The sequence below is a fragment of the Homo sapiens genome, chromosome 19 (genome assembly GCF_000001405.40).
Source record: "Homo sapiens chromosome 19, GRCh38.p14 Primary Assembly".
Classification (NCBI taxonomy): Eukaryota; Metazoa; Chordata; class Mammalia; order Primates; family Hominidae; genus Homo; species Homo sapiens.
Genome location: NC_000019.10, coordinates 14,178,840 through 14,194,400, shown reverse-complemented (window position 1 = coordinate 14,194,400; position 15,561 = coordinate 14,178,840). Strand labels below are relative to the sequence as shown.

The window sequence follows — 15,561 nt, the reverse complement described above, 5'->3', positions numbered from 1 at the left end:
TTTGCTGTTTCCTGTAAATGGTTTCTTTAAAGTTCTGTGGCTCAGGCCCTTGCCCCCATCTCTGCCTCCCTCCTCACTCTCTTTGTGTCCTGACTCCCTATATGAATTTCCTAGGCTCCCACAACAAATTACCACAGACGGGACAGCTTTAGCAACAGAGACTTTATTGGTTTTTTTGTTTATGTTTCAGAGATGAGGTCTTGCTCTATTGCCCAGGCTGAAGTGTACTGGTGCGATCACAGGTCACTGCAGCCTCAGCCTCCCGAGCAGCTGGGACTACAGGTGCATCCCATCATGCCCAGCTACTTTTTTATATTTGTTTGTAGAGCTGGGGTCTCACTGTGTTGCCCAGGCTGGTCTCAAACTCCTGGGCTCAAGCAATTCTCCCGCCTTGGCCTCCCAAAGTGCTGGGATTACAGGCGTGAGCCACTGCAGCCAACAACAGAATTGTGTCGCCTCCCAGCTCTGGAGGTTGGAAGTCCAAGATCAAGGTGTTGTCAGGGTTGGTTCCTTCTGGGAGCCTTCAGGCAGAATCCGTTGCAGGCCTGTCTCCTGGCTTCTTTTGGTCATTAACTGGCAATCTTCCCTGGCTTCTAGAAGCATCACTCTGATCTCTGCCTTCATGGTCACATGGTCTTCTGTGCATGTCTGTGTCCAGGTTTCTCCTTTGTATAAGGGCGTCAGTTGTTGGATTAGGACCCACACTAATGACCTCATTTTAACTTGATTATCTCTGTAAGGACTCCAGATGTTCCCAACACAGTCACATTTGAGTTATCAGGAGTTGGGACTTCAACATATCTTTTGTATTTTTGACATGGGGTCCCACTCTCTTGCCCAGGCTAGAATGCAATGGTGCAATCAGAGCTCACTGCAGCCTCAACCTCCTGGGCTCAAGCAACCCTCCCCCTTCAGCCTTCCCAGTAGCTGGGACTATAGGCACGTGCCACCGTGCTCGGCTAATTTTTGTGTTTTTTGTGGAGATGGGGTCTCACTATGTTGCTCAGGCTGGTCTCAAACTCCAGGGCTCAAGTGATCCTCCCACCTTGGCCTCCCAAAGTACTGGGGTTGTAGGTGTGAGCCACTGTGCACTGTGCCCAGCCTGAGTTTTTTTTTTTTTTTTTTTTTTGGCGGTGGGGGCGGGGGGCCATATTTCAATCCTCCCCCTCCAGAGGCCTCAGGGATGGTCAGGCCTGGGTCTCCCGGGGGACACCCACCACCTGCCAAGCTGAGGCTGGTTCCTGGGGGTGTCTGGAGCTTCCTAGGGGAGCCACTCTGGGGAGAGGGCGTCGTGCTCCTGGGGAACTCTGTCTGTACCCCTAAGGCAATGGCACCCTGCCTGTGGGGGTCAGGCGTGGTCCCCCAGGTCACAGGGCAGACGCCCCATCTCCAGCTATCCTCACTGCCGTCCTTAGTCACTCCCCTGTCTTCAGTAAGTTTTTGCTTGGGGACCCACTGTGTGTTCAGGGAACCAGGAGACAGGAGTCGGGGAAACCAAGTTCCAGCCTCAGGAGTTTCCATTCTTCTGGGAGTAGAAAGAAAATCTAGAAGGCTGGGCACGGTGGCTCACGCCTGTAATCTCAGCACTTTGGGAGGCCGAGGCGCGTGGATCATCTGAGGTTGGGAGTTCGAGAGCAGCCTGACCAATATGGCGAAACCCCGTCTCTACTAAAAATACGAAAATTAGCCAGGTGTGGTGGCCTGTGACTGTAATCTCAGCTACTCAGGAGGCTGAGGCAGGAGAATCACTCGAGGTTCTTGAATCACTTGAGGCGGAGGTTGCAGTGAGCCAAGATCACGCCAATGCATTCCAGCCTGGGCGACAGAGCAAGACTCCGTCTCAAAACAAAACAAAGAAAAGGCCGGGAGCAGTGGCTCACGCCTGTAATCCCAACACTTTGGGAGACCAAGGCAGGTGGATCACCTGAGGTTGGGAGTTCAAGACCAGCCTGACCAACATGGCAAAACGTCATCTCTACTAAAAATACAAAAATTAGGCAGGCGTGGTGGCGTGTGACTGTAATCCTAGCTACTCAGGAGGCTGAGGCAGGAGAATTGCTTGAACCTGGGAGGTGGAGGTTGCAGTGAGCCGAGATCGCGCCACTGCACTCCAGCCTGAGCGACAGAGTGAAACTCCGTCTCAAAAAATAAATAAATAAATAAAATAAAATAAAGGAACTCTAGGAGTGGTCAAGTAAAAGTATGGAGCAGGGATGGGATGGATGAGGTTATGGACTAAATTGTATCTTCCCACCTCCCTCCCAAATGCAGAGGTTGAAGCCCTGACTCCCAGCGTGAGTGTATTTGGAGGTAGGCCCTTGAGGGAGGTAGTTAAGGTTAAATGAGATCTTAAGGGTGGGGCCCCCTACTCTCAGAGGACTGGTATCCCAATAAGAAGAGAGAGGCCGGCGCTTGTGGCTCATGCCTGTAATCCCAGCACTTTGGGAGGCCAAGGCAGGAAGATCGCTTGAGGCCAGGAGCTCAAGACCAGCCTGGGCGACATAGCGAGACCCCATCTCTACAAAAAAAATCGAAAAAGTAGCTGGGCACAGGAGCACGCACCTGTAGCCCCAGCTACTCAGGAGGCTGAGGCGGGAGGATCCCATGAGCCTGGGAGGTTGAGACTGCAATGAGCCGGGATTGTGCCACTGCACTCCAGCCTGAGCAAGAGAGCCAGACCTTGTCTCAGAAAAAAAAAAAAAAAGAGAGAGACAGCAGGGATCTGTCTCCCTTTATGCATGTCTAGAGAAGAGGCCCTGTGAGGATATAGTGAGAAGGCGGAAGAGAATTTCCACAGAAACTGAATTCGCTGGCACCTTGATCTTGGCCTTCTGGCCTCCAGAACTAGGAGGAAGTAAATTTCTGCTGTGTAAGCCGCGCAGTCTATGGCACTTTGTTATGGCAGCCCGAGCTAATAGAGAAGGTGACAATGGGGACAAGGGATGCTTCACCCTGTCTGTGTGCCAGGAGCATCCCGAGTGTCTCGTGTGTGAATTTGTCCTGTTGCACAGCTGCCCTCTGAGGTATCCCCGTTTTACCAAGAAGAAAACAGAGACACAAGAGGTCACAGCATGGCAAGGGATGCACAGGCAGGCGGTGACTGCAGGGCACTGTAATACAGGGTGGCAGAGGCCCATGTCTGCGTCTCTGGGGAGGACACCTCTGAGTCTGAGGGACACAGATGGGGACAGGCTGAGGCTGGAGGGTGGGAACCCGCATGGCTGGAGGGAGACAAGGCGGGAGTCAGAGGTGTTGGAGGGGTTAAAGCAGAAGACCCACCACTCAACATTGTCTTTTGTTTTTGTTTTTGTTTTGAGACGGAGTCTTGCTCTGTCGGCCAGGCTAGAGTCGGTGGCGTGATCTTGGCTCACCGCAACCTCTGCCTCCCAGGTTCAAGCAATTCTCCTACCTCAGCCTCCCGAGTAGCTGAGATTACAGGTCCCCGCCATCACACCTGGCTAATTTTTGTATTTTTAATAGAGATGGGGTTTCACCATGTTGGCCAGGCTGGTCTTGAACTCCTGACCTCAGGTGATCTGCCCTCCTCGGCCTCCCAAAGTGCTGGGATTACAGGCGTGAGCCACTGCGCCCGGCCAAGATTGTCTTTTAAAACACCCCTCTGGAATGGATGAACCTGGAGGACATTATGCTAAGTGAAATAAGCCAGACACAGAAAGACAAATAGTGCATGACCTCACTTATCTGTGGAATCTAAAAAAGAATTGAACTCGTAGAAGCAGAGTAGAGCAGTGGTTATGGTGGTGAGGGCACAGGGGAAGGCGGGGGATGTAGGTCAAAGGGTACAAGCTTTCAGCTTTCAGATAAACACGTTTTAACCAGGCAGAATGGCTTGTGCCTGTAATCCCAGCACTTTGGGAGGCCAAGGCGGGAGCATCGCTTGACGCCAGGAGTGCAAGGCCAGCCTGAACAACATAGCAAGACCCTGTCTCCACAAAAAAATTTAAAATCAGCCAAGCATGGTGGCACACACCTGTAATTCCAGCTACACGGAAGGCTGAGGTGGGAGGATCTCTTGAGCCCAGGAGTTCGAGGCTACAGTGAGCTTTGATGGTGCCACTGCACTCCAGCCTGGGCAACAGAGCAAGACCTCATCTCTAAAAGAAAAAAGTTCCAGAGACCTAAGGTACAGCATGGTGACTATAATTAATAATAGCAGGCCAGGTGTGGCGGCTCATACCTATAATCGCAGCACTTTGGGAGGCCGAGGCAGGCAGATTGCTTGAGCTCAAGAGTTTGAGACCAGCCTGGGCAACATGAGACTCCATCTCTACTAAAAATACAAAAATTAACCAGGCACGGTGGTGCCCACCCGTAGCCCCGGCCACTTAGGAGGCTGAGGCACGAGAATTGCTTGAACTGGGAGGGAGAAGTTGCAGTGAGCCAAGATTGCGCCACTGCACTCCAGCATGGGTGACAGAGCGAGACTCCGTCTCAAAATAATAATAATTATTATAGCATACTGTTTTCTTGAAACTTGCTGAGGAATTAGACTCAAGTGTTCTCACCACACACACCAGAAAGGTGTCTAGGTGAGGTGTTGGATGTGTTGTTAGCTTGGTTGTGGTAATCACTTCACAACACATAATGGATATCAAAATATCATGTAACCTTAAATAGATGTAATTTCTATTTGTCAATGATGCCTCAGCAAAGCTAGGGAGAAAATAAAAAGGATCCTTCTGTGCAACAGCCCGCATGTCCATTACCGATGACTGGATAAAGAAAACGTGCTCCACCCATGCAGTGGAATACTACGCAGCCATAAAACGGAATGAAGCTCGGATCCAGGCTAGAACGTAGGTGAGCCTTGGAAACGTGGCGCTGAGTGAGAGAAGCTGGACACAAAATAAGGCCAGGAATGGTGGCTCACAGCCGTAATCCCAGCACTTTACGAGGCCAAGATGGGCAGATCACTTGAGTCCAGGAGTTTGAGGCCAGCCTAGGCAACATGACGAAATCCTGCCTCTACAAAAAATACAAAAGTTAGCCAGGAGTTCATTTAGAGGAGTCATGTGACTATAGTCCCAGCTACTCAGGAGGCTGAGATGGGAGAATCACTTGAGCCTGGGAGGTGGAGGTTACAGTGAGCCGAGATTGGGCCACGGCACTCCAGCCTGGGCAACAGAGTGAGACCCCCATCTAACTGGGAAAAAAAAAAAAAAAAAGGCCACATAGCCTGTGACTCCATTTGTATGAAATGTCTAGAATAGGTAAATCCATGGAGACAGAAAGTAGATTATAAGTTACCAGGGCTGGGCGACAAGGGGAGTGGGCATTATTGTTTAGTGGGTACGGAGTTTCTATGTGGGGTGATAAAAAAGTTTTGGAGGCTGGGCACGATGGCTCATGCCTGTAATCCCAACACGTTGGGAGGCCGAGGCGGGTGGATCACTTGAGGTCAGGAGTTCCAGACTAGCCTGGCCAACATGGTGAAACCCCGTGTCTGCTCGTGGTGGTGGGCGCCTATAATCCCAGCTACTCAGGAGGCTGAGGCAGGAGAATCACTTGAACCCGGGAGGTGGAAGTTGCAGTGAGCCAAGATTGTGCCACTGCACTCCAGCCCCGGTGACAAAGTGAGACTCCGTCTCAAAAAAAGAAAAAAAAGGAGGTGGTGCCTCTGGCTGCCAGGAGAGCCTGGACGTCGGAGGCAAAGGAGCCAGAGGGCACTTGGGGAGTGGCCAGGGCCCAGGACTAGAGGGGCAGATGCTGAAGACAGATGTGTGGACCAACACTGGGGTGTTCTGGAAGTATACACAGCCCAAAGACTTACTCTTGAACTGGATTTAGGGGTGAGAGAGGAGTCAAGGGTTTCAGCTCCTGGGGTTCTGGCTGGAGGGCCTGGGAGGATGGTGGCACCGTGCACTGATGTAGGGGCTTATTTTGGTCTGGTTGGGCTGAAGGTGCCTTGGAGTTCCCGGTGGAAGTATACATGGCTCTGGGGGGTCCACTCTGGAGTCTTAGCATTCTAGGGTGCAGCCTGGGAGGAAGAGAGGGACTGCCTCTTCCGTGGGTGTCTTTGTGCCCTGACTGGCACCAGGCTGTGCACAGCACCCTCTGATGGGGCCTGTATTGGCCCAGCGTGTACGTGTACTGCTCTCCTTACCAGAACCCTGCAGAATAGCAGCGCAGAGGGAACCAGGGCCAGGGAGGTGAGGAGACCAGCTCAAGGTCACACAGGGCATGTATAAGGCAAAATTGGGATCTAGACCCATGTGGATTCGCTGCCCACACAATTTGGCATCGAGTGGCTTCCCTGCCATTTATTTATTTATTTATTTTTATTAAGAGAGGGTCTTGCTCTGTTGCCCAGACTGGAGTGCAGTGGCAGGATCATAGCTTACTGCAGCCTTGCAAACTCCTGGGCTCAAGTGATCCACCCACCTTAGCCTCCCAAAGCACTGGGATCACAGGCACGAGTCACCGTACCAAGCCAGCCATTTTTACTCCCTCTAACCAGTTCCTCTGCTCGGATGCCTGTTGCAGTGGGAAAGAAAGCGCTTGGAGACCCTGGGAGGGGAGTATCCTCAGCTTGGGGACACTGCCTCCCCTGAACCTTTCTGTGGCTGGGCAGTTGGGGGAGAAATGAGGAAGTTGAAATAAGGAAGCCACTCCCCATTCCCAAGGTAACATGCTGGAAAATGATTTGAAAGTGACACCGGCCATGTCTAGTCACAGATGTGGGGGAGATGCGGATAGGGGCTGGTGGCGGCGGCGGGGTAACACGCTGTAAAATCATCTGAAAGTGACACTGGCCGTGTCTAGTCAGGGATGTGGGGGGAGACGCGGTTGGGGGCTGGAGGTAGCTGGGGGGGATTTACTGAAGAAGCTGGGGCAGTGGAGAGGGAGCTGGTATCGGGAGTGGGCATGAGAGGGGAAGCGGGCAGAGAGCTACAGGGCTGGAGAGGGGGTGTTCAGGGCTGTCTTGCAGATATTATCTTCCCATTTCCCACGTGAGGAGACTGGGGTCTGGACCAGGTGTCCTGCCCTGTGGGGATCTTTATTTATTGAGGGCCTGTGCCGATTTGTTTTATTTATTTATTTTTGAGACAGTCTGGCTCTGTTGCCCAGGCTGGAGTGCAATGGCACAATCTCAGCTCACTGCAACCTCTACCTCTCAGGTTCAACCAGTTCTCGTGCCTCAGCCTCCCGAGTAGCTGGGATTACAGGCACCCGCCACCACGCCCGGCTAATTTTTTGGTATTTTTAGTAGAGATGGGGTTTCACCATGTTGGCCAGGCTGGTCTCGAACTCCCACCTCTGGTGATCCACCCGCCTCGGCTTCCCAAAGTGCTGGGATTACAGGCACGGGCCACCGTGCCCAGCCGTGTGCTGATTTGTAAGGGCCTCTCTCAAGAAGCTCGTGTTGATAAAAAGGTAATTTCAGGTGCTCACTTGAGAGCTGTGAATTAAAAACAGGGAAAAGGATGGCGGGTGAGGGCAGCAGGCGAGGACTGTTTTGTTTGCAGGGGGTCAGGGTAGGTCACTCTGCTGGGGTGACCTTGCGGCTGAGCCCTGAACAATGAGCAGCCGCAGCCGACATGCAGGGATCCTGCTTGGGGACTGGAACTGGAATGTTGAATGTTTCAGGAACAGGAGGGAGGACAGAATGGGGCTTGGAGAGCTTGGTGGCACCAGTTCACCCACAGCCTCTGGGCTCTAGTGAGGAACTGAGACCCCAGCAGAGACCAGGGGGTCAGTTAATGTTCGGATCAACATCATCATGTGGTCCCTTAGCTCTGAGTGAAGGGCGGATTGGGAGGCGGGCAAGGAGGCCAGGACAACATACAGGTGACATAGGATGGTGCATGGGCCTGGGTGCTGTGCTTAGAGCCAGAAGTGGGCAGGTCGCGAGGTACTTCAGAGGCAGAGCCCACAGGAGTTGCTGATGGCTTCCGTGAGGGGGATGACAGGGAAGGTGAGGAATCAAGGCAGAGTCTCAGCTTTGGGATCTGAGATTCATTCAACAAATAATTAATTCATTGCCACGTGCCAGGCCTATTCTAAAAGTTGAGGATATGAAGACAACAGTGGTGATGGCCTCACGCAGTAATCCCAGCACTTTGGGATGTTGAGGCAGGAGGATCTCTTGAGGCCAGAAGTTCATGTTCAGCCTGGGCAACATAGCAAGACCTCATCTTTGCAAAATAAAATAAATTAGCTGGATGTGATGGTGCATACCTGTGGTCTCAGCTACTAGGGAGGCCGAGGCGGGAGGATCACTTGAGCCTGGGAGGTGGAGGCTGCAGTGAGCCATGATTTCACCACTGCACTCCAGCCTGAGTGACAGAGCAAGACCCTATCTCTAAAAAAATAAAAGTAAATAAAAGTTGGGGATACGGCCACCATGAGCAAAACAGTTCAATGATCCCTGCCCCATGAAGAGGACATTCTATACACCAGGTGAATAGTTCTATCTGAGCAGAGGCCTGAAGGAGCCAGCCATGTGGACAGTGGGTTGGCAGAAGCTACAGGTGGAGGAAGCAACAGGTGCAAAGGCCCTGGGGCAAGGCCTGCTGTGGTCCAGGAATAGCAGGAGTGGCTGGAGCAGAAATGGGGTCAGGGAGCTAACTGGGCCAATTACAAGGGTTTTGGTTTTCAGCAGGGAAATGGTAGTGGGGGCTCTGATGAGAGATTCCAGGCTGGACATAAGAGATTTGAAAGTGCTGGCTCAATGATGGTACTGAGAGCCCAGGACAGCCTGAGATGGGACAGGCTGGGATGACAGCTGGATATGACAGAGCAGGGGTTCCCACGCTTCAGGGCCTGCCTCAGAGAATGTGTGTTTCTGGCCAGCACAGTGGCTCACGCCTGTAATCCCAGCACTTTGGGAGACTGAGGTGGGAGGATCATTTGAGGCCAGGAGTTCAAGACCAGCTTGGGCAACATAGCAAGATCCTGTCTCTATAAGACATTTTAAAATTAGCTGGGCGTGGTGGCGAGAGCCTGTGGTCCCAGCTACTCGAAAGGCTGAAGTAGGAGCATCACTTGAACCCAGGATCTGGAGGTTGCAGTGAGCCGTCATTGTGCCACTGTACTCCAGCCTGGGCAACAGAGCAAGACCCTGTCTCTTAAAAAAAGAAAGAGAGAGAGAGAATGTGTGTTTCTACCAAGTTCCTGGCAAGGCTGATGCCAGTGTGCTGGGACCACACCTGGAGAACCAGGGTGTAGATAAAGCAAAGAGCTGAGGACAGACATTTGAGCGTGCAAGCCTGAGAGGATTTGGGGAGACTGAGGCGGGGAGAGAGGTGAGAAGGAGCAGCCATAAGGCAGGAAGAAACCAGTTAGAACCGAGTCCTGGACTGGGCACAGTGGCTCACTCCTGTAATCCCAAAGTTTTGGGGGGCCCAGGCAGGAAGATCCCTTAAGCCCAGGAGTTTGAGATCAGTCTGGGCAACATAGCAAGACCTCCTCTCTGCAGCAAATTTAAAAATTAGCTGGTGGTGCTGGGCGCTGTGGCTCACGCCTGTAATCCCAGCACTTTGGGAGGCCGAGACGGGCGGATCACGAGGTCAGGAGATAGAGACCATCCTGGCTAACACGGTGAAACCCCATCTCGACTAAAAATACAAAAAATTAGCCGGGCGTGTTGGTGGGTGCCTGTAGTCCCAGCTACTCGGGAGGCTGAGGCAGGAGAATGGCGTGAACCCAGGAGGCGGAGCTTGCAGTGAGCTGAGTCTGTGCCACTGCACTCCAGCCTGGGGGACAGAGCACGACTCCGTCTCAGAAAAAAAAATAAATAAATAAATAAATAAATAAATAAATAAATAAATAAAATAAAAATTAGCTGGTGGTAGTGGTGCAAGCCTGTGATTTCAGCTACTTGGGAGGCTGAGGTGGGAGGATTCCTTGAGTCTGGGAGGTTGAGGCTGCAGTGAGCTGTGATTATATCATTGCACTCCAGCCTGGGCAACAGAGTGAGACCTGGTTTCTAAAATTTAAAAAAATAATAATAATGAAAAAAAAAACTGAGCCGCTGTGCCTGGGGACAGAGCAGGTGGGGAGGATGGCAGGGGACAGCACACAATTCTCACCCCTCCCCCATCTCCCCTGGCCCCCCCAGAGGGGGAGGCAGTGTCCGCCTCCCACCCCGCCTGCCTGTCTCCAGCTTACCCTGAAGGTCCCCCAGAGAGGAAAGAGGGGACTCGGGCGTCCCTGGTTCCCGATCTGTGGCGCCAGCTGGATTCTAATTAGCCACCAGAGCTTGAGAGACAGGAAGCAGGGGGCTGGGGGCGGGGGCTTGGATTTCTGCCCAAGACGGGGAGGCTGCAAGTTGGGTTGCAATGAGTCCCTCACTTGGGAGGACACTCATTACCTCCTTGCTCATGGTGAGGATGCGAGTAGGGGAGATGAGTGGGCAGGGTCAGGACAGGGGCATGGGGAAGAGGCTTCCAGAGGGTCCAAGGCCTGCCTGGGATCTCCCCGTGAGCTGTCCCAGGAGGTTCCAGTGGGGAAGAGTTGGCAGTCTCTTTGCCCAGAGGTGCCCAGATAGCTGGGTCTGGCTGCTGGGTGTAAGGGTGGGGGGTGTGGTGTGAGCTGCAGACCCCGGAGGGGGCCCTACAGATAGGGCTGGCTCGAGGGACGTGCTGGACCTCAGCCTCTCAGAGCTACTCAGCCACCAGCAGGAGGAGAGGGGAGCGGCCTGGAGGCCCTATCCCCACCTCAGTCTCCCTGTCCTCCCCCAGGCTGGTGGTCCAGGCCGTGGTGCCTGCCAGGTGATGTGGGGCAAAGCCCCCCGCACAGGCCACTGAGAGCTCCGGACACGCACCCGGCTGCCACCATGGCCCGCCTAGCCGCAGTGCTCTGGAATCTGTGTGTCACCGCCGTCCTGGTCACCTCGGCCACCCAAGGTAGGTGCTGCTGGGGCCGGGGAGGGGCCGCGGCTCCCAAACCCTTCTGGGGGGGGCAGATAAAATGTTGAAAACCCTCCTGATCACTCAGTAAAGAATTACAGCCCCCTGCCCCGCCCCAGACCTCAGCTGGAGCAGGCCAGTGGAAGACTCAGGGGTAACACACACCCCAGTGCCACCAAGAGGCCCCTGGACCATCCTCTTACCTCCAACAAGTCGGCTGGGCCAGGTTGGTAGGGGCCATCCCGCTGTGGCCCCTGGGACCAGGACAGGCCTTCTTGGTGAGCCGATGCTCCTCTCTCTGTCTCTCTCTCGCTCTCTCTCTCTCTCTCTCTCTCTGTGATTACATCTTCGAGGCTCTCACTGGGAAGAAGGCTTAATTAAAGCATGCCCGCTGACGTTTATTTAAAAACAACTAATTACCCGGCTCGGCCCTATGCCGGCCCTAGGATCCTGCACACGCCACTATTAGTGCCCCAAGCCTGCCCGCCCACCCTCACCGATTACTCGATTACTGGCCCCGTGACCAGCCCAGGCCGGGGGCAAGGGCGGGATAAGGTGAGAGGCCAAGAGAAGAGGCCAGTAGGCCCGGCCCCTCACTCTGGGATGTGCCCCCTGCCCACCCCGACATCCCTGTATGAAGGGCATTGGCGGGTGACTCTGCTCCCTCTGGCCCTGCCCTCTGGAAAGCTCCAAAGGTTGAAGGGACACGGTTCAGCTGGGCCCCAGGGCCTTGGCACTGCCCCGCTGGCCAGCAACCTCACTCCTCTGCTGCTACGTTCTCTGCCCATCCAGGTCCTGCCCCATAGCCCCAGCTGGGCCGGGAGGGCTGCCTCCACCCCCAGACCCATCTGAGCCAGCCTTCCACCCCCGGCCCTCCCTCCCAAGCCCGGGAAGGCTAAAATTAGATGAGGAGGCAGATGGTGCTGGAGGAACACATGTGAAATGTTCCCCCCGCTGGGACTCAACTCACCCCAAAAAACCCCAAGGGCCTCCCTGCCATACCCCTGGGGTACCCACCCAGATCTCTGGAAAGGCTCAGCTCTGTCACCGTCCCGCACGAGTGCCCTCCCGAAACCTCGTACAGCAGGTGGTCACTTCCTTCACCTACAAGCGACGGTCCCCACATTGGGGCATCTGGGTCCCTGGCTGAATCCCTGCTGCCCTCCAGCACCCCGCAGGGCCTGGCTGGAACCAGCGTCACAGAAGGTGCTGCCCCGGCCAGCATGGACCCTGCCAGGCACCCTCTGTTGTGCAGACAAACCGCCTTAATAATATTCATAATAACAATAATTAGCATTCATATCATCTCACTGCGCTCTGCACACATTAACACCCTGGAGCCATCACAACAGTCCTGTGAGATGGGAATTGTCCTCTCTGCCCCTCAGGGGAGGGACAGAGGCACAGAGGCGGTCAGTGACTTGGATGAGGCTGCAGCCAGGGAGTGGCCGGGCTGGAATTCCAACCCCAGCCATCTGTCTGGCTCCTACATTCTAGTTCTCCATCCCCGTGTGGTACAAGGTGATGACCAACATGGGGCAACGCAATCCCCCCAGGGAGCTCAGCCTGCTCAGAACATGTCCCTTCCTTGTCACAGTGAAATCCTTGGAGGTTCACCAGATGATACTGATCAGGCACCCTCCGTGTGCAGGGTGCCATGCTCAGTGCTTTCCTTCAAGAGCATTTTCTAAGGCACAGGATCCCTGCAGGATGACCCGGGGCTGTAGGTGCTCATTTTACAGATTGGGAAACTGAGGCTTGGGGAAAGAAGAACGGTGGCTGTTCAAACTTTTTAAATGTTTTTATTTTGAGATGGAGTTTTGCTCTTGTCGCCCAGGCTGGAGTGCAGTGGTGTGATCTCGGCTCACTGCAACCTCTGCCTCCCGGGTTCAAGCGATTCTCCTGCCTCAGCCTCCCGAGTAGCTGGGATTACAGCCGCCTGCCACCATGCCCGGCTAATTTTTTGTATTTTTAGTAGAGACAGGGTTTCACCATGTTGGCCAGGCTAGTCTCGAATTCCTGACCTCTGGTGATCCACCCACCTCGGCCTTCCAAAGTGCTGGGATTACAGGCGTGAACCACCGCGCCCAGCCACTGTTCGAACTTGAGCATGCATCACCATCACCTGGTTGGCACATAGCCCTGCAGGCTCCTGGCCTCACCCCTGGGATTTTGATCCAGCAGGCCGAGTATGGGGCCCGAATCTGCATTCTGAACCAGACTTCACATCTGCCCTGTCAGCGGCAAAGCCAGTCTCTATGGTTTCTTCTAGAAACATGAGTTCATTCCCATGTTTTCTCTGCTCCTCGCATGGGGTGGGGTGAAGTTAGGGAAGTCCCCAAGCCAAGCCTCACTTCTGACACCAATGACAAGTTTGGGGGTCCCCCAGAGAACACTCAGGTATGATCATTCACTAGAAGGACTTGGAACTAACTAGATGTTATGCTCACAGTTTATTTATTTTTTATTTATTTATTTTTTCGAGATGGAGTCTCGCTCTGTCGCCCAGGCTGGAGTGCAGTGGTGTGATCTCGGCTCACTGCAAGCTCTACCTCCCAGGTTCACACCATTCTCCTGCCTCAGCCTCCTGAGTAGCTGGGACTATAGGTGCCTGCCACCACGCCCGGCTAATTTGCTCACAGTTTATTACATCAAAAGGATACAGATTAAAATCAGGGCCAGGTGCACTGGCTCACTCCTGTAATCCCAACACTTTGGGAAGCCAAGGTGGGAGGATTGCTTGAGCTCAAGAGTTTGAGACCAGCCTGGGCAACATAGCAAGTACCCCCATCACTACAAAAAATAAAAAAAAATTAGCCAGGCATGGTGGTATGTGCCTGTAGTCCCAGCTACTCGGGAGGCTGAGGCAGGAGGATCCCCTGAGCCCAGGAGTTTGAGGCTGCAGTGAGCTATGATCACACCACTGTGCTCTAACCTTGGTGACAGGGTGAGACCCTGTCTGAAAAAACAAACAGGCCAGGCGTGGTGGCTCATGCCTGTAATCCCAGCACTTTGGGAGGCTCAGGCGGGCGGATCACCTGAGGTCAGGAGTTTGAGACCAGCCTGGCCAACATGGCAAAACCCCGTCTCTACTAAAAATACAAAAATTAGTGGGGTGTGGTGGCAGGCGCCTGTAATCCCAGCTACTTGGGAGGCTGAGGCAGGAGAATCGCTTGAACCTGGGAGGCAGAGGTTGCAGTGAGCTGAGATCGCGCCATTCCACTCCAGCCTGGGTGACAGAGCGAGACTCTGTCTCAAAACAAATAGAAGTCAGGCAAGGGAAGAGGTGCATAGGGCAGAGTCCAAGAAAGTTCCATGCATGGAGTTTCCAGTTACTCCCTTCAGTGGAGTCCTGGACAGTGTTAACTCTCCCGGCAACAATGTGTGACAACACACATGGTGTACTGCCAACCATAGAGGCTCCCCCAAGCCTTGTTATCCAGGGTTTGTATTGGAGCTCAGTTCTGTACTCTGTAGCCCTGATAGACCACCTACAGGGCTGAGCTGAATCTCTAGCATCTCTAGAAGTCAGCTGAGACTATGTGACCCAAAGCTCCTGCCCCAAGTCCTGTTAGCATATTCATTAACTAGGGCCGCCCTAACAAAGTACCAGAGACCATGTGTCTTTGTTTGTCGCCCAGGCTGGAGTACAGTGGCATGATCTCTGCATGCCATCACTGCAACCTCCGCCTCCTGGGTTCAAGCAATTGTCCTGCCTCGCCTCCCAAGTAGCTGGGATTACAGGTGCCTGCCACCACACCCGGCTAATTTTTGTAGTTTTTTAAGTAGAGATGGGGGTTTCACCATGTTGGCCAGGCTGGTCTCAAACTCCTGACCTCAGGTGATTCGCCCACCTCGACCTCCCAAAGTCCTGGGATTACAGGTGTGAGCCACCGAGCCCGGCCTAGACCATGTGTCTTAAGCAACAGACATTGATTGTCTCACAGTTGCAGAGGCCAGAAGTCTGAGGTCAAGGTATCAGCCAGGGTTGGTTCCTTCTGAGGCCTCTCTCCTTGGCATTTATTTGTTTGTTTGTTTGATGGAGTCTCGCTCTGTCGCCCAGGCTGTAGTGCAGTGGTGCAATCTCAGCTCACTGCAAGCCCTGCCTCCTGGGTTCAGGCCATTCTCCTTCCTCAGCCTCCCAAGTAGCTGGGACTACAGGTGCCCGCCACCATGCCCAGCTAATTTTTTGTATTTTTGGTAGAGATGGGGTTTCACCGTTTTAGCCAGGATGGTCTCAATCACCTCACCTCATGATCTGCCCACCCTGGCCTCTCAAAGTGCTGGGATTATAGGCGTGAGCCACCGTGCCTGACCTATTTTTTTTTTATTTTTTATTTATTTTTGAGATGGAATGTCACTCTGTCACCCAGGCTGGAGTGCAGTGGCACGATCTGGGCTCACTGCAATCTCTGCCTCCCCAGCTCAAGTGATTCTCCTGCCTCAGCCTCTCAAGTCGCTGGGATTACAGGCACATGCCACCACGTCCAGCTGATTTTTGTATTTTTAGTAGAGATGGGGTTTCACCACGTTGGCCAGGCTGGTCTCAAACTCCTGACCTCAGGTGATCCACCCGCCTCAGCCTCCCAAAGTGCGGGGATTACAGGTGTGAGCCACCGCGCCTGGCCTCTCCTTGGCTTATAGATAGATGGCCGCCTGCTCCTGTGTCTTCACATTGTCTTCCCCCTGT

The 15,561-nt window shown here is 53.7% G+C and overlaps 1 protein-coding gene across 18 annotated transcripts in view; it reads left to right on the top strand.

Annotated features, from left to right (window-relative positions):
* Positions 1-15,561, top strand: part of ADGRL1 (adhesion G protein-coupled receptor L1) — a 58,427-nt gene that overhangs the window by 11,769 nt on the left and 31,097 nt on the right. For 12 of the 18 annotated variants that reach the window (XM_047438418.1, NM_014921.5, XM_005259818.4 and 9 more), the window contains exon 2: positions 10,704-10,868. In XM_047438418.1, the coding sequence (XP_047294374.1) occupies positions 10,799-10,868 (70 nt within the window). In that variant the 5' untranslated portion in view covers positions 10,704-10,798. Of the gene's footprint in view, positions 1-3,583; positions 4,822-10,703; positions 10,869-15,561 lie in introns of those variants that run through there. The other 6 variants (XM_047438415.1, XM_017026476.2, XM_047438416.1 and 3 more) reach the window with 3 other exon arrangements.